Below are 18,852 nucleotides of genomic sequence, written 5' to 3' on the forward strand. Positions count from 1 at the left end.
GGTATTATGTGATGCCAATTAATTTTTGTTTCTTGGGAGAAGTAATGGCATTATAGTAGTTATATCATTTTTTTTTTCTTTAGAGATACATACTGAGTATGTAGGAATTAAATAACACGTGGTCTGGGATTTGTTTTAAAACGCTTAAGGAATAAAAACAAGAGGGAGATGAATGAAGCAAGTGCTGGAAAGTGTTGACAGTTGTTGAATCTACATTGTGGGTATCTTTGGGTTTCTTTGAAAATGTTCATAATAAAAATCAGTTTTTGTGTATCTTTGAAAATGTTCATAGTAAAATTAATATTTAAAAGTTTTTAAAATGTCGTGGATATTTACATGTATGTTCTTGACCTTGTCACCCACCTTTTAGTACTTTCTTTTACACAGCTATTAGCACTTTTCTCCAAAAAAGTCTTGCGGGGGAGGCAGCATCCCCTATTACTGCAGTGTTGAAAATGGCAACCACTTTTCAAGTCCCCCTCACAGTTAGAGAACAGTCATGCCAGGCACCAACCCCAGTTTCTGGATAGGGAACTAGTGAATCAAAGAGGCAGTTTCTTTGCTCTCTTGAAAGGCAGTGGCAAACTAACCTACACTGAGAAAAAGGAAGTCGGTGATTGCCTAGTGATAGGGGAGGAAAGATTAGACGGGGGAGGGATTGCGAAGTACTAAGAGGTAATTTTCGAGGTGATGAAAAATGTTTATTATTTAACACTAATTAGCAAATTCTAATTCCTGGTAACATCCAGAGCTGAAGGCAAAGGTGATAGAAAAGCCATAGCTTCTGTGTTCAGTGGCACTATCAGGTTTTCCTTTCCTTTTTCCACCAGAATAACCAGTGTTTAACTGACCCTAGCCCAATTTTTGACTTTCCTGATAATTCTGTAAACTACCTAACATTGTTTTAGTAATTATCTTTTTTTACTTTTTACAGCTTTATTGGGGTTAATTAGCATTCAGTAAACAGCACATATTTAGTGTGTATATTTTGGTAATTTTTGAAATATGCATATACTTTTGAGGCTATCGCCACAACAAGATAGTGAACATCCCCATTACCCCCAAAAGTTTTCTCTCAGCACTCCCTCCTCTTTCTTCTGCCCTATTCCCAGGCAACCACTGATTTCTTTTTTATCAGTATGGATTAGTTTGCATTGTCTAGAGTTTTATATAAAAGGACAATACAGTTAAGTGTTCGGTTTTCTTTATGGCTTCTTTCTCACTCAGTGTAATTATCATAAGATTCATCTGTGTTATGTATATTAGGAGCTTTTCCTTTTTATTGCTAAATAGTATTCCATTTTATGAATATACCACAATTTGTTTATCCATTTAGTCATTGAAGATATTAGTTTGTTTCCATTTTGGGGCTCTGATATGGTTTGGCTGTGCCCTCACCCAAATCTCATCTTGAATTCTAGTTCCCATATCCCCCATGTGTCAAGGGAGGGACCTCATGGGAGGTGATTAGATTATGGGAGGCAGTTTCCCCCAGGCTGTTCTCATGATAGTGAGTTCTCACGAGATCTGATGGTTTTATAAGGGGCTTTCCCCCACATTGCTCTGCACTTCTCTCTCCTACTCCATGTGAAGAAGGACATGTTTGCTTCCCCTTCCACCATGATTGTAAGTTTCCTGAGGCCTCCTCAGTCATGCAGAACTGTGAGTCAGTTAAATCTCTTTCGTTTATAAATTACCCAGTCTCGGGTATTTCTTTATAGCAGCGTGAGAATGGATTAATGCAGGCTTCTACATTAAGCTGCTGTGAATATTTAAACATTGATTTTATATCTTCATATGAACATATTCTTTTATTTCCCTTGACCAAATACCTAGTAGTGGAATGGCTAGATTATATGACAGGCATATGTTTAATCTTTTAATTAACTGCAAAACTGTTTTCAAATGTGATATATAATAGATATTATTTTAAAAAATAAATAGATGAATGTATTAGGAAAGATGAGGTCTTACATGTATTTCGTTGTGTATATACATGATATAGTGCATTTATATGTTCCGTGTGTCTTATTTGTATTTTGATAAATAACAAAAGTATATTTTTACTATCAGTAGGTAGGATTGTTAGAGCCACTAATTATTCAGGGTGCGACAAAGTATCATCTCAAGGCAGATACAGCATTTCATATAGTAATTAATACCAGATCTTATTTAGTATTAACCAGTTATGCACAAAATATGAATATATGTGATTTATAATGAAGTGTCAGCCTAGTACTGCAAATAATATAGCTCAGTATTTGAAAACTGATAGATTCACTGTGTGAGTATGAATTTATAATAAATACACTTCGGTGACAGGTTCATTCTCAATTTGCTTATGTTAAAATTGCACTAACTAGCAGATCCTCTGAGATTTATTTCCAGGCTTTTAATGTCATATTACCTTGAAAAATGATGATGTGAGTTCTTAACATGGTAGGGGTGCCTGTACATTTCACTTTTGATCTTGAGTGAAATCTCATCTCACAAATCACCAACATAAATTACAATTTGGTCTTGTGTGTGACTGGCATAAATATATTTTAGAGACATGAGAAATACAAAGAAAAGTTTTCCCGCCTCCCCCTTTATCCTGCATATGTTAACATTAGAAAGATAAACCACTGCATATTCTCCTGTCTCATTTTAACATGTTGGTATGTAGTTTTGGGGGGATATGGATTCTTATGTATGCAGGGAAATTTTATATGGTTTGATACATCTTGATGTGTTTGGTGACACAGTTGAACATCATCATTGTACATGGCCAAGCATGCACAGGGAGCATGAAACTATTAAGGGGTGATGAGAATATTGCCTAAGTATATTTTTGAGGCCCCCAAATCATTAAAATAGAATATTTGGGCTGAAGTTAAAAATATAATATTGTTTAATGAATTTCTATTCATTTCAAAAACAGAAGATACATATTGTAAATATAAAAAGTATTATAAATTGTTTTTTTCTGCAAATTGTAATATCTGAGAAAACTGATGATTTAGTATTTTTCCTTTATAATTCTTAGACATTTAATTGTCTTTATTTGTCTTCTTGGGATAGGTAGATCCATATGTGCAGTGTTGAATAAACATAGAGCTAGTTGGCATCCTTACCTTGCTATGAGTTTAAAGGGAATGGTTTTTAACATTTTATTATTATGATATTTGCTTCATTTTATAGATACCATTTATCAGGTTGTATTAGTTGGCTTGGCCTGCTATAACAAAATACCACAAATTGAGTGGCTTAAACAACAGAAATTTATTTTCTCACAGTTTTGGGGGCTAGAAGTCTGAAATCAGGGTACAGCATACTCAATTTCTGGTGAGGCTGCTCTTCCAGGCTTGTAGACAGCTGCCTTCTTTCTGGGTCCTCACATGTCCTTTCCTTTGTACATGTGCACAGAGAGTGAATGAGTGAGGTCTCCAGTGTCTCTTCTTCCAGGGACTCAAATCCTATCAGATCAGGCCCCGAACCCCTATGACCTCATTTACCCTTAATTACCTCCTTGGAGGCCACTTCTCCAAACACAGCCATAATGGGAGTTAGGGCCTCAACAGATGGATTTTAGTCCATAAATTAAGTCCATATTTATGGACATTTAGTCCATAAATTAAAGAAGTTTTCTAATATTCCCAGTGCTTCCCTTAGTCTTCACTTTACAGCAAACTATCCCAAAACTTAGTGACTTGAAGTAATAATGTTTTCTGCTTTTTAAATGATTCTGTGGGTTGGCTGGATTATTCCTTTTTAGTTTCACTTAAGCTTACATGTAAGGTTGCCTTTATTTGGAGAGTTGACTGGGCTGGAAGGTTCAAAATGTCCTTACTCATGTTTGTAGACGGTGCTGGCTATTAGCTAGGGTGACTTGATTCTTGATGTGGCCTTTTGTCTACCAGATGCTAGCATGGTATATCAGGGTTAAGTCCGGAAAGTAAACTGCATGTCCTTTTGAAGTCTAGGCTTTGTAAATTACATATTGTTTTTGCCGTATTCTGTTAGTCAAAGCAAATCCAGTCCAGATTCAAGATGGTGGGGAAGTAGATATCTCTTGATATGGGAGGAGAAGAACATTACATTGCAAAGGATGTGATTGCAGGAACGCATCATTTATCGAAGGCTATTATTATAACAATCTCCCAAATCTTTGCTAAGTTTGCTAGGGGTAATTTGTTAAGAATTTATTGATGAATTTTATTGTCCGTGTTTCCTCTAAATATTGAGAAGATTATATATTTTTTCTCCTTAATTTATGTGATGAAATATAGTTTCTATGGTTGAACCATATATTCAGTGTCATCCTGTATATCTTTTTAAAAATGTTTGATGTTTATTTCTTGAATCTGTGTTCAGGAGTAAGACTGGTCTTTGAATTTACATTTTCTTTGGTATTAAATTTTTACTAGCCTTTGTAACATTATTTGGAAAATGTTGCCTCATTTTTCTAGTCTCTGAAAAAATTATTTGTTTTAAAGAATGCTAATAGAACTTAACATGTAAACTGTTGGTGCCTGAGATTTACTTTGAGATAGTATTTTTAACTTCTAATTTAATTTTTTGACCAACTATAGCCCCACTTAGAAAAACTCCACCATTCTTGAGATTGTTTTATTAATTTACATATTCCTAAGAATTTCTCTATTAGCCAAATTTGCAACTTTGTATGGTATAAAGTTTAAAATAATCTCATGGCATCTTTTAGTATTTTCTGTATCTGTAATTTCCTTTAAAAGTAGAATTTTAAAATAAAATTTTTCCATTTTTAATTTTACCATTAGCTATCTACCATTTAATCTGGTAAGAAATCTCTTAATTTTATTAGTCTTTTCAGTGAACCAACTTTTGGCTTTTTAAAAACTCTGATCTCTTTTGTATCTGTTTTCTATTTAAATTTTGTTTCCCCTTATTGTTATATATAGCTTTCATCTATATTCTTAACTGTGTAATTTATAAGTTTTACTCAATTTTTAGCATTGCTTCTTTTTAACATAAGATTTGCTACTATAATATTCCTCCAGAATCTCATTAACTGCCCATTCACTATTCTATAAATTTTGATATATGGGTTTTTCATGAACACAGTATTTTAAATTTTTATTAAAATTACTTACTTGACCTTGAGTTATTTAGAAATGTGTTTTCATATTTCCAAGTGTAGGGGGTTAATTTTGGTAACATTTTACCAATTTCTAACAATTACATTGTTGTCAGATATGATCTGTGTGATATCAACTCTTAAATTTGCTAAGACTAGCTTTATGGCCTAATACGTGGCTGATGTTCTTAAATGTTCTCTGTGTGCTTGAAAGAATGTTCTTGCTTTTACACTGTTGGTGAAAATGTAAATTAGTTTGACCCTTGTGGAAGACAGTGTGGCGATTCCTCAAAGATCTAGAACCAGAAATACCATTCGACCTAGCAATCCCATAACTGGGTATATACCCAAAGGATAATAAATCATTCCATTATAAAGATACATGCATGCATATATTTACTGTAGCACTATTCACAATAGCAGAGACATGGAATCAACCCAATGCCCATCAATGATAGACTGGGTAAAGATAATGTTGTACATGTACACCATGGAATACTATACAGCCATAAAAAGAAATGAGATCATGTCCTTTGCAGGGACATGAATGAAACTAGAAGTCATCATCCTCAGCAAACTAACACAGGAACAGAGAACCAAATACCATATGTTCTCCTTCATAAGTGGGAGTTGATCAATGAGAACACATGGACACAGGGAGAGGAACAACACACACAGGGCCTGTCAGGACTTGGGGGAAGGAGAGCATCAGGATAAATGGCTAATGCATCTGGGCTTTATACCTAGGTAATGCGTTGATAGGTGCAGCAAACCACCATGGCACACATTTTCCTATGTAACAAACCTGCATGTTCTGCACATGTATCCCGAAACTTAAATTTTTTTTACAAAAAATGATTGTCTGTTCTCCAGATATTGGATGTATTATATGTCCCTTAGGTCATGCTTGTTGATTGTGTTCAAATTTTCTATATGTGTTCTGTATGTGATCTACCAATTGCTGAGAAACCCACATTAACTGTCCTACATAATACTAGATTTCTATTTCTCTGTATCTTCTGGTAATTTTATTATCTACAACATCTGTGTTTTTAAGTATTAGGTTGGTGCAAAAGTAATTGCAGTTTTTGCCATTACTTTTAATGACAAAGTATCTATATATCTATATATAAAGATACTTAGAATTATGTCAATAGATAGTGATGCTTTTTTCCCTGTAATACTTTTTGCTTTAAATTTTGTTGAGGTTTACTAAAAAAGGGTTACCTTTTTCATTCTATTACCTTTTAACTTTGAATGTCCTTATGTTTTAGGTGCCCACTTTTAAATATATATACATATGTTTAACTATTAACATATAAACATATTTTTAGCTGTTGTTTTTAAGTAATGTTTAAGCAGTTGTTTTAAAGTAATCAATTACTGAAATTATTGATTTATTTGGATTCATTAATATCATTTTTTAAAAATCTCTTTGGGCCGGGTGCGGTGGCTCACACCTGTAATCCCAGCACTTTGGGAGGCCGAGGCAGGCGGATCACGAGGTCAGGGGATCAAGACCATCCTGGCCAACATGAGGAAACTCTGTTCCTATTAAAAATACAAAAATTACCTGGGCATGGTGGCGCATGACTGTAATCCCAGCTACTCGGGAGGCTGAGGCAGGAGAATCACTTGAACCAGGGAGTTGGAGGTTGCGATGAGCTGAGATCGCGCCACCGTACTCCAGCCTGGGTGACAGAGCCAGGCTCTGTCTCAAAACAAAAAAAAAAAAAAAAAAAAATCTCCTGTTTAGCCTGCTGTTTGGCCTGCTGTTTTTTGTGACCAAGGGCCTTCTACTCTACCCTTGTTTGCATTCTTTTAGATTCATTTTTCCCCTTTTTAAAAAAATTCTGGGTTTTTTTCTGTTTTGGAAAATTTATTCTATACTTATTTTTTCCCTCAATGGTTATACTAAATTTTAATGTGCCATCCTTCCATACAATACGGTGATTTAGAATGCTGTAACTCTGGTCACTTTATCCCAACTTAAATATGATTGTTTTTTAGTGTTTTATTTCTGTTGTATATTGGGATCATACTTCAATAGATTTATAAATTTCTTAAACATTTTCTTTGCTTACCATTCCTTTTTACTTATTAGACTTTTTTTTGGATGATTTTCTTCTAGCTAATGTCCATGGTTTAAATAGTGAGGCTCTATTGATAGTGCACTCTCAGTTTTGTCTCAAAAAAACTCATATTTTATATTTTCTCAAAAAATAATTTTGCTAAATTTATAACAATGCTAGGTTGACAGTCTTTTTGTCAACATGTTTTGCCTTCCATTGTTGCAGTTGGGAAGTGTTTGTTTGGAATAATCTATTATTTCTAGCTTCTTGTAAGATCTTTTTTTTTTTTTTTCCTCAATGTTCTCCAATTACATTGTGCAGTACCAGATGATTTCATTTATTCTGGTTGGGATTCTTTGACTTTTCTGAATATGAGAAGTATTGTCTTTCATCAGTTCTGGAAAATTCACAGAAGGTTTCTTTTTAAAAATTGCCTCTGTCTCCTTTTATTAGCTCTTCATATAGTAATAACTCTGAATAGGCATATATTAAGAGTTTTAATTTTCTTCTCCATGTTTTAAAACTCTTATTTATTATTTTATGTCTTTGTATTTTTTCTCTTTTGGCTTTAGCATTTAAGATTTTCCTTATTTTCCTTGACAATTCTGTCATAAATTTTAAGTCATTAGTTGATGATGTTCTTGCTTATTCATAATTTTGAAATGTGCTTTATCATAAAATTTTCTCCAGAAATCTAGTCTGCCATATTCCCTGTAACAAAAATGTAAATTATTTAATTTCTTTGACATCTATAAAATGAGAATGAGTGTTTATATTCCTTCTTATTCCAAAAAAGAATTACTGGCAGTGACTAACAAAAATGTAAATAATCTACTAGGATAAAATCAGTAGTTGAGGAAATTAGTGTAAGAGAAAATTAGGATGGGAAAATAAAATAAAACTAAGGAAACAGTTTATGCCAAATAGGACAAAACAAAAAAGCTTGTACTTTCTGTTCCTATAGAGTTGGTATTGTTTGATCAGAAATCATTTGGGGTGCTTCATGATATCCAAAGGAAAATACAATTATGTATAAGATTTAGTGTCTTACAATAAAACATACCAATTGCTCAGGAAACATAGGTGTTCCTGAAATGTCTCTCACTGGTCTTTGAAATAAGAACAGGTGAAGTAGGAGTGGGTTTCCTACAATTTCTTCATTTTAAAAGTTTGTTTTCTAAATTATTTTTTATTTTTTAGAGATGGGGTCTTGCTTTGTCATGTAGACTTGAGTACAGTGGCATGATGATAGCACACTGCAGCTTGGAATTCCTGGGCTCAAGCAGTCCTTCCAACTCAGCCTCCCCAGTAGTTACAGGTGCACACCACCATACCTGACTAATGTATTTTTAAAATTTTTTAAGAGAAGAGGTCCCAATATGTTGCCCAGGTTAGTCTCAAACTCTTAGCCTCAAGTGATCCCCCCACCTCAGCCTCCTGAGTTGGTAGGATTGCAAGTGTGAACCACTGTGCCTGGCTCCTTTGCAATTCTTATAGATCTCCCAAAGCATGCCAGTAGCATAATTCATGCTGTTAATTATGGGTAGAAAGTGGAAGAATTGATGTAAATATGTTGTTAATGAATTAAATTTTATCCCTTTTGATACCATTTTAAAGTAGTATTCTGAAAAAATTATATTTAACTGGCTTAAAATATGAAAAATAGATATTTTATTATCTATGCTTTATAAAAAGATAAATATATGTGGTAGATTTTATAAAAACAGACAGTTCATTGATACAAGTTATAGCCCTGTCCTCATTAATAAAAATGTTTTTATTTTATGTTTGAACTCCCTTTCTTATTACTGCCTGTTCTTTAAAAATTATGATAGTATTATTTAAAAAGAAATCCTCACATGTTATTTTTCTTGGACAGAAGACATCTTTTTTTGGTTGGTGTACATTTTATTCTTAAAACAGATTTTAACATCATGCACAAAAAAATTTGCACTCTTTTTCCTTTAGACATCTCTTTGCAGTCTTATTTGTTTTCTGTCATGTTTGACAAATTTAAAACACGAATAAGTGACAGCAAAACTTGAGTTAAAATAGCACTTCTGACTACCAACTAGTTGTGTTTTGTAGTGTAGCAAAGCTGATAAATTAGGTGCTATTGTAGGGTTCAGCTAGAGCAAATGAAAATAATTTATCAGAAAAACAAAAAAAATCAAACACTGAATCACAGTTTTTTAAGACTAGAGAATCAGTCAAACACTCTGGAAGTAACTTGAGTTTAACAGCATGATTATTGATGTTTAACAGTTAAATCCTACATTCATTCTGAAAGATTTATGGCCCTGATTTTGTTATGAACTTTACCAATGTAAGAACCTAACAAAATATGAAATATAGTTCAATATGTTACAAAAGGAAAAACAAATCACATTTCTCCCAAAGTAAAAACAGAAGTAGTCAACATGCTGCAAATGTTGAAGTTTAAAATGCTGACTTAGGAAGATATATCTGGTTTTTTGGATTTATTTTGTTTATTTTAGACAAACAGTGAGATAGCACAATTTTAATATTTAGGTATAATATGAAAAACAATATATACATCATTGATTTTATATATATAAACACACATATATCACATTATCTGTAACCTAATATTTAGCATAGTTAGTACTATTCTCGATCATTAACAAATGATTAATAAGATTCATTAATGTTCTTAAAATGGGAATCATTAAGTATTATTTTAGAAAAAAAAGTGAGTGAATTGGTTTTGATGAGAATAATGATAAAGAAACTGATAATAAGGACATTATAGAAGTGAAAGCCCTAAATAGGGAATATTTACCTTGCCTTGTTTGAATTGATTGACCCATACTTTTTTCATTAGAGCCTTGTATGTAGAGGAAACATTGAAATTACAACTTAAAGTTAATGTAGAGCATTAAAACATTTATAAATAACTTATCAACCAGTAATTATCATTGCTTTACCATTTTATAGGGTTTATTATGCTATTCTTTTTCCAGTCATTTCATATTTTTAAGGAAACTATCTTTGTCAGCATTTTGAGATTATGAAATTTAAATCAAAACAATTCCAGATTTCAGAAATGAACAAATAGAGACACTGAGCGGTTATTAATTATGAGTAATTAGAGCTTTCTGGATAAAGAGGCAGCTTTATGCCAGGACTGGTGGCTCACGCCTATAATCCCAGCATTTTGGGAGGCCGAAGTGGGAGGATCGCTTGAGCCCAGGAGTTCAAGACTAGCCTGGACAACATACTGAGACATGGTCTCTACCAAAAATAAAATTAGCTGGGCATGGTGGGACACACCTGTAATCCCAGCTAGTAGGGAGGCTGAGATGGGAGGATCGCTTGAGCCCAGGGATTTGAAGCTGCAGTGAGCTATCATTGCGCTATTGCACTCTAGCCTGGGTGTCTGAGCAAGACCCTGTCTCAAAAAAATCCAAATAACAACAACAAATGAAGCATCTTTCAAATACAAGCCATTATAGTATACAATTTAAAAATCGGTTTTCCCCAACTTTGAGTTCTTTTGTTTTTTAAACTGCTTAAATAAAACAGTAAAATATTAAGCCAATTGAAGAGAGATAATAAGATTATAAACTGTTGACAACATTTTTGGTCTCTATTTTTATAAAACAAAATGTCTGTTTTTGTACCTATGTTCTTTCTTCCTGTTCGGCTGAAGTTCTTTTTATTTGTTGATACTTATTATTTTTTTATTCAGGTTATTTCACAGTTGAGGATTTTGGGCAGATCCATAACAGCTGGTTCCAAATTTGATAGAGAAATCTGGTCTAATGAACTTTCTCCTGTCCTCAATCTCTGGAAGAAACTAAACCAGGTTAGTAGTGGAATATTCTTCTGATTCTTTTGCTTTTTCTCCCGCATCGTAACCATGTGCTCCCCATTTCTGCCTGAGTCATACAAGTAATCACATTGCAGAGGTTCCTAACTGTGAAGTCATGGCCCATGACCTCCTTTCTTCATACCAGTGCACATCAAAGTTAGTATTTTTTACTCTCTCTTTTATGAAATAGATCTTTCCTTATCTTTAAATAAGTAATCATATTCACATAATTTCAGTTCTTCCCTTTAGCAGTTCATTCCTTGTCTTGATGTTTGATAATTTTCTTCCTCTCAGGGCTATGCTTCTTGTAACAGTTTCTGAGCCCAGTTTCCAACTTTTTTTTAAGTGACATTGGCAGTTTTGTATTTTCTAATGATTTTCCCAATTCATGCAGTTCTTAAAATGTATATACATAGTACAACCATGTAGGTATTCATATGTATATATATTATTATGTAATATAGCTATTTATTCTGAGAATAATGTGTGATTGTTTTCAGTTTTTACTTAGTAATAATATGAAAATGGAATAATTTGCATAATTGACTAAGTTCACCTCTTACTAAACAGAAAACCAATGGCAAAAGTAACCTTAATTATTGCAAAGATCTCATCTTACATTTTGGAGACATAATCCAGGTATTTGTTGGAAAGTTTCCTTCTCTGTGAAATACAGGTTAACTTGTTTGACTCAATTTCCAGAGTTTGGGGGAAGATTAGAGTCTACTCTGTAGTTTTGGCACCTTAGTCCCCTATAATTTTCTCTGCCTACTTCTGAATTTGCAAAGTCCATGTTGTTTTTGCTCCACATTTGATTTAACCTTAAAGCACAACTTATATCTCTGTTTTTTATAAGAAATCCGTTGATGTGATTTTGTAGTTTTAGTGATCATTAATGAAGTTGCGAGGACAGCTCATATTGCTAAGTGTGCAGTCTTCTACTAAGCCACTTTTTTTTAAACTACATTCTTTGAAGTTTTGCACTTCAAAGTTCCCACAGTTGACTCTTCCATCTGTGCAAAGTTTACTTGGATGTGTCATTTAGACTTCCTTGCACTAACTGCTTCTCTTCATCAGGCACATCTGATTTTATGGCTAGTCTCTCTCCCTCACTGCCAGCACACATACATACCTTCTTTGTAATTCTGAGAAAACTTTTTTCGATTATTATGTAAAGAAGACTATACGAATGACTTCAAAGGCTTACATGTAGATTATTTGCCTCCTGTGACCCAACTCAAGATTAGAAACTCACTGTATTCTCTGCCTTTCCCCAAACCCTCATTTACTTTTTTTTTTTTACTTTTTTTTTTTTTTGAGATGGAGTCTCACTCTGTCACCAAGGTTGGAAGGCAATGGCATGATCTCGGCTCACTGCAGCCTCCGCCTCCCGGGTTCAAGTGATTCTCCTGCCTCAGCCACCCGAGTAGCTGGGACTACAGGTGCACACTACGGCACCCAGCTAATTTTTGTATTTTTAGTAGAGATGCGTTTTTACCATATTAGCCAAGCTGGTCTTTAACTCCTGACGTCAGGTGGTCCACCTGCCTCAGCCTCCCATAGTGCTGGGATTACAGGCGTGAGCCACCACGCCCAGCCCAAACCCTCATTTGGAATGTAGATATAGCCCATTACTAGTTCTCTGATGTTGGATTTCTGCCACAACACACCCCCTAATTACCTGATTCCTACATACAAAGGTAACAGTGTAGAATCTGGGTAGAGTACAATATCATAGGAACATTGAAGTATGTGGCCAGAAGGACAAATTATAGAATATGTTGCTCAAAGGTTTCATTTTAGGAGAAATTACTATTTTAGGGGAAATCATAATTTCCCCTAAAATAAAATTATGATTTTGAATGCTAATTAATTAATAATGCAGTTAAATATTTTGAATTCTCTTCACTTATATAACAGAGATAAAAATGGGACTTCCAGAGCCAGACCGGTGGGGTTCAAATTTCAGTTCTAGAACTTTCTAATTGTATAGCTTAGGAAAGTTACTCGACTTTTCTGTAAAATGGATATAATGATAGTACTTACTATCATTACTTACTATCATCACCAGCAATGATAGTATTCATGAGGATTAAATGCATTAATATATGTAAAGCTTTTATAATAGTGTCTGGCATATGTAAGCACTCTCTTTTAACTACTCATTTAACATTTATCAAAGGTACTTTTATTATGAATGGTCATTTATAATATATGATCATTCATTTTACCCTTTTTCAAGCAAATTATTATTATTTATTTCACAATATTATTGGTCTGTCATTCATTCAGAATATTTTAATGAGTACGTAATGTGTTTCAGTGATTTTTATGCTAGGGACTATGCAGAGATACTTGTGGACAGAATAGTCATGGTACCTACCTTGTGGAGTTTACAGTTAGTTCGTAAGAGAGATATTAGAAGATGAAGCAAGTAAATAAATAAAATATATTATTACAAATTATTGCAGATGCTGTGGGTGGAAAGCACAAGTGGTGTTATAATAAGGGAGAAGACCTATTTTGGCCTGGATAGTTAGGGAGTATCTTGTTTGAGAAGTGAAATGGAATCCAAGATATGAGCAATGAGAAGCTAGCCAGACAGAGTTGGAGGGGAAGACTATTTCAAGCCAAGGTGACAGCATACACAAATTCCCAGAGAAGAGAAAATGTTTGGCGCATTCAATAAAACTGAAAGGATGTCAGTGTGATTGGAGTATAGAGACCAAAGGATAGAGTAGATGAGGTAAGGGGATGCTATGATCTGAATGTTTGTTTCCCTCTTGAAATTCATATGTTGAAGTCTTAACTCTCAAAGTGATGGTATTTGTAGATGGGGTCTTTGGGAGGTATGATTAGGGCATAAGAATAGAGCCCTCACAAATAGGATTAGTGCTCTTATTAAAGAGGTTCCAGAGGGATCCCTTACCCCTTCCTCCACGTGAGGACACTTCAAAAAGACTGCCATCTGTGAATCAGGAAGCAGGTGCTCACCAAATACAGAATCTGCTGGTGTCTTGATCTTAGACTTCTCATACTCCAGAACTGTGAGAAATACATTTCTGTTGTTTATAAGACACCTAGTTTATGGTGTTTTGTTATAGCAACCAGAACAGACTAAGACAGGGATAAGGAATTTTATTCCAAGTGCAATGGGAAACCATGGAAGTTATAGGTAGAGTGGGTATGATCTAGTTTACAATTTCAAAAAGTTTTTGAAGAAAGCTGTTGTGTAGAAGATGGTGAGAAAGTAAGGAGAGCATTCAGGAAGCTCCTGCAGTAGTCCAGGTAAGAGCAGATGGCAGCTTACATTACGGTGGCAGAGCAGATGAAGAGCAGTGGGTGCCCTTGAGTAATGTCAAAATGTAGAGTTATTATGAGAAAAAAATTTAGAGTTATTATAGGGAAACAAACAAACAAAAACAAAAAACGAAAAAAGAACTGAAGACTGTGTTACCATAGAAACCTTGAGGAATCTTTAGTTAGGAATGAAATTGTTAACTAGGCCGAATAGCTTCTGAGAGGTTAAACAAAACGAGGACAGAATTGACCACTGGATATTCAGAATAAAAGTGGTCACTGGTGACCTTGACAAGTAAAGTTTAGGTGGAATAAGGAGACTGGAAGTTAGATTTAAAGGCTGACTAGAGATAGGAGATGAGGAGCTGGAGTCAATGTATCTAGACAATTCTTTTTTAAAATGTGCTTATAAAGGAGAGTAGTGAAATAAGGTGATCAAGATACAGGGCCCATTGTGTTTTTTTCTTAGAGAGGGAAAGTAAGTATTAGGTTGGTTTTAGGCTAATGAGAAAGATCCCGTTGAGGAAGTAGTTGAAGATGCTGAAAAATCGAAGCTCTTAAACCATTTAGGAAAACAAAAACAATGATTTTTGCTAAATGAGGGATCAATAATAAATATAGACATTCCTGCTTCTTAAATATATTAATTTTTTTCTTTTTTTTTTTTCTTTTTTTTTTTTTTTTAGCTATAGGATCTTGATGTAACCACTTCTCTCAATGTGAAACCACTGAAGTTTAATCTTGCCTTGCTTTTCTGTCCTTACTTCTGGTCATATAGAATTCCATTGTTTCAGTATTTACAAGACTATTTGGTTTGTGTATTTGTTTTTAATTATTAGCTCAATCAAGATATATGAAATATTTTTCCCACTTTTTACAACTGTTGATATAATCCCAGATATTCCTTTTAGCTCTTCTCAATGTCACATTTCAAACCAATTCAATTAATCAAGTTTCAGCTTTCTGTCCCTTTGTTTTCTTTGACTTGCCTTAGTTGACCAAATAGAGCGCTACAAAGTTGCTAAACATCCTTGTTCCCAATTTAATCTTTGTATATCTACTCTTTAAATGATATAATAGGTGGCTGGGCGCAGTGGCTCACGCCTGTAATCCCAGCACTTTGGGAGGCCGAAGTGGGAGGATCCCCTGAGGTCAGGAGTTCAAGACCAGCCTGGCCAACATGGTGAAACCCCCATCTCTACTAAAAATACAAAAATTAGCCAGGCATGGTGGTGCACACCTGTAGTCCCAGCTACTTGGGAGGCTGAGGCAGGAGAATCACCTGAACCCGGGAGACAGAGGTTGCAGTGAGCCAAGATTGTACCACTGCACTCCAGCCTGGGCGACAGAGCAAGACTCTGTCTCAAAATAAATAAATAAATAAATAATATAATATAATATAACAGGCATTTCATTTAAGTATACTGACAGCTGGTCTAGGTTTAGCTTGATTTTTATCCTGTTATTTTGCACGAGATGCCTTAGTAATACTACAGTTCCAAGAAACTTTTCCAACCTGTTTTTCTTAACACATCAGAGGTAAATGTGCAAGAATACTTTAATTATTTTGAAGTAGTTTTCTCCAAAACTCAGCTTCTCTCATCTCTCCACTGCTTTTTTTCTTAATTAGAACTATTAGTTTATGAGAAAATCAGTTTATTTTAGATATGTTTATAAGTGAGCTGGAGAGGAGATCTACTAGTGTGTTATTTCAACTGAGAGAGAATGTTTATCCAGCCACTCTAAAGATTCTGGAATTTAGCAATTTCAAAATTGCTGTTAGGGGTTTAGATTAATACTCAATTTAAAATCTTACCACAAGGCAAACTCTTATTCTAAAAAAAATGTTTTCCGAGTTTGTTCTTTCCCAAACTTGAGCTCCTTTAAGGGAAATACTGATAGATATGGAATTAATGTGTTTATCTTTTAACAGCTAGAATTTTAGAATTTTCCTGTTAGGGATCATTAGGAAAAACTACCATCATGTTGAAACTGGAATATGGAGATCCTGAAATGTTTCTAGTGATTAAAGGGATTGGAAAATATAAATTAAGTCTACATTACTGATTGTGACTAATAATTTAAGGCATCCAAAAGTGTTATTGTAGCTGATTTAGTGTGCATTCTCTGCTGCTTTATGTTTAAGGGGAGAAAACACTATTATATAAAAGGTAAACACCAGCTAGGCTTATTTTGACAGTAGACACTATTTTATTTTCATGGAGCCAAGGACTCACAAAAACTCATGACAGATAGCATTATGACTTCCCAATGTAATAGGAGTCTTTTTTCCATATGAGGACCTTGAAGCTCCATAAGGCAAGCAAGAAATGCCATTAATAAAAAATATGCAAATGTCTGGCTATTCTAGATATCTGACAGAGAATGATGAAAAGGAAATGACCAAAGAAAACCAAAGATATAGTTAAGTTTTACTAAAATATTAACATTTTACATAATGTGAATACTATTAACAATATGTGTAAAGAATCTAATGCAGTACCTACATTTGACTTTTAAAATATCAAAATATTAACTTCAGTAGATTCTAAGAATTTAAGAATCTTAATAAATTATGAGCAAAAGGGCTAAATAAAACAGAAGGGTTCTACTGACAAAGGAGATAGGAGGCTTTCGTGAGAAGCAGTTTCCTTTTGATGATTTTTTTTTTTTTAAGGGCTGGTATTTGATTTGATTACTGAGTTTGTTAGAATAGTTTCGTAATTGGTCCTTGAAACATTTTTATGATGGCTGCTTTACAGTCCTTGTTCAAGAATCCCAACTTCTGTGTCATGTTGGTGTTTGCATCTGATAATCTTTCTTTTTAAATTTAAATTGAAGTTTTACTGGTTCTTGGTATAATGAATAACTTTGTACTATATCCTGAACATTTTAAATATTTGTAAGACTCTGGTTCGTATTTAAATCTTGTTGTTTTTTTTTTTTTTTAAGCAGGTAGTCAACCTATTTAAGTTCAGAATGCATGTCTTGATTCACTTCTATAGGTTGTGGTTCCAACATCAATTTGGTTTATAAAATATCTGCAGTGCTATTCTGGTCTGCCTCACTTGTGTCTTATATGACAGGACTTTACCACCACCACTGCCATCACTACCTCCTCCCCACAGTCTCCACAGAGCCAGCTGTGAGAGGGAGGGCATGCCCTCTCGTTACTTCAGTAGTGAAGTGGAGCCCAGAATTCCACCCACAGGCACTGCAGGGGAGGAGCAATATGCTTCTTACTTCAGGGAGCAGGCAGAAGTCAGAGTACTGCCCAGCATCTCCACCTGGCATCTCTCCTTCTACTGCAGGCCAAGGATGACTCATGACTTTTAATAAAATAATTATTGATTTCTTCTTCTTTTTTAATTTGTAGAATATTTTACATTGGTAAGTTAGAAATGTGCATTGGTGCCCAGGTGCGGTGGCTCATGCCTGTAATCCCAGCATTTTGGGAGGCCGAGGCGGGTGGGATAATCTGAGGCCAGGAGTTCGAAACCAGCCTGACAAACATGGAGAAACCCTGTCTCTACTGAAAATACAAAATTAGCTGGGCATGGTGGCACATTCCTGTAATTCTGGCTACTCAGGAGGCTGAGGCAGGAGAAGCACTTGAACCCGGGAGGCGGAGGTTGCAGTGAGCCAAGATCGCACCATTGCACTCCAGCCTGGGCAACAAGAGCGAAATTCCGGCTCAGGAAAAAAAAAAAAGTGTATTGGCCTTTTGTAATTAAATTAGTAATAGAAGGTTGCTGGAGATTCTAAAAATAAATTATGTAAAGCCCAGAAATTGTAACTTTAATTCCTATTGGGCTGAATAAGTTAGGAACTCACAGGAATACCTAAGTACTTATATTCAGGCAAGGGTCCAAAATACATTTTTTGATCAGATTGAAATAGGGAAAAGGTGTCAGTTTAACTCATTGTTTAGATCTGGGCTGTTTCTAACCTTCAAACTTGTTGAATAGCCAAAGGAGAGAACTGAGATGGCAAAGCTAAGTAGATATAGCACTATAATTCTTTATTGTACAGGGAAAATTTTCTCTCTTTCCCCTTCAAAAGGTTTGAACATGCAAAGAAATTATATTTTGCAATTTTTAAAACCTACATCTTTGGCTTTATGTGTTTGAGCTATGTTCAGATTGGTTGAAACTAAAGGAAGAAGTGGAGCTTATGAATTTTGGACTAATCTGTAGCTTTTGTGAATCATGAACTAGTTCGATCATCTTTAATAGACGCAGATAAGAACAAATGCTCCTTTTTTGTGAAGTAGTTTTGAATGCAGGACAATAGAACTGGGAAATGAATTTATATCTTAAGAGAGAAAAATATTTAAAATTGTATAGGCATTAAACATGTTTAAACTTCCCTTTCTGTAAAACGTAGTCATGGAACCAAGGATAATTGAATAGCTAGTGTCTCCTTAGGTGGTACAACAAAAATGATGGATTTGGAAGAAGTGATGCAACTCTGGGTTTCATCTTTTGGTTGGAACATTTCCTTAATGTCTTGTTGGATTGAATGTAAGAGTCACTTTTCATTGCTAA

General features: G+C 34.5%; 1 protein-coding gene across 5 annotated transcripts in view; it reads left to right on the forward strand.

The window, feature by feature from the left end:
* The window catches only part of DYNC2H1 (dynein cytoplasmic 2 heavy chain 1), a 370,438-nt gene that overhangs the window by 237,935 nt on the left and 113,651 nt on the right, over positions 1-18,852 (forward strand). For all 5 annotated transcript variants that reach the window (NM_001080463.2, NM_001377.3, XM_017018291.2 and 2 more), the window contains one exon: positions 10,883-10,999. In NM_001080463.2, coding sequence (NP_001073932.1) covers positions 10,883-10,999 — 117 coding nt within the window. The remainder of the gene's footprint in view (positions 1-10,882; positions 11,000-18,852) is intronic.

Source organism: Homo sapiens, chromosome 11, assembly GCF_000001405.40.
Source record: "Homo sapiens chromosome 11, GRCh38.p14 Primary Assembly".
Lineage (NCBI taxonomy): Eukaryota > Metazoa > Chordata > Mammalia > Primates > Hominidae > Homo > Homo sapiens.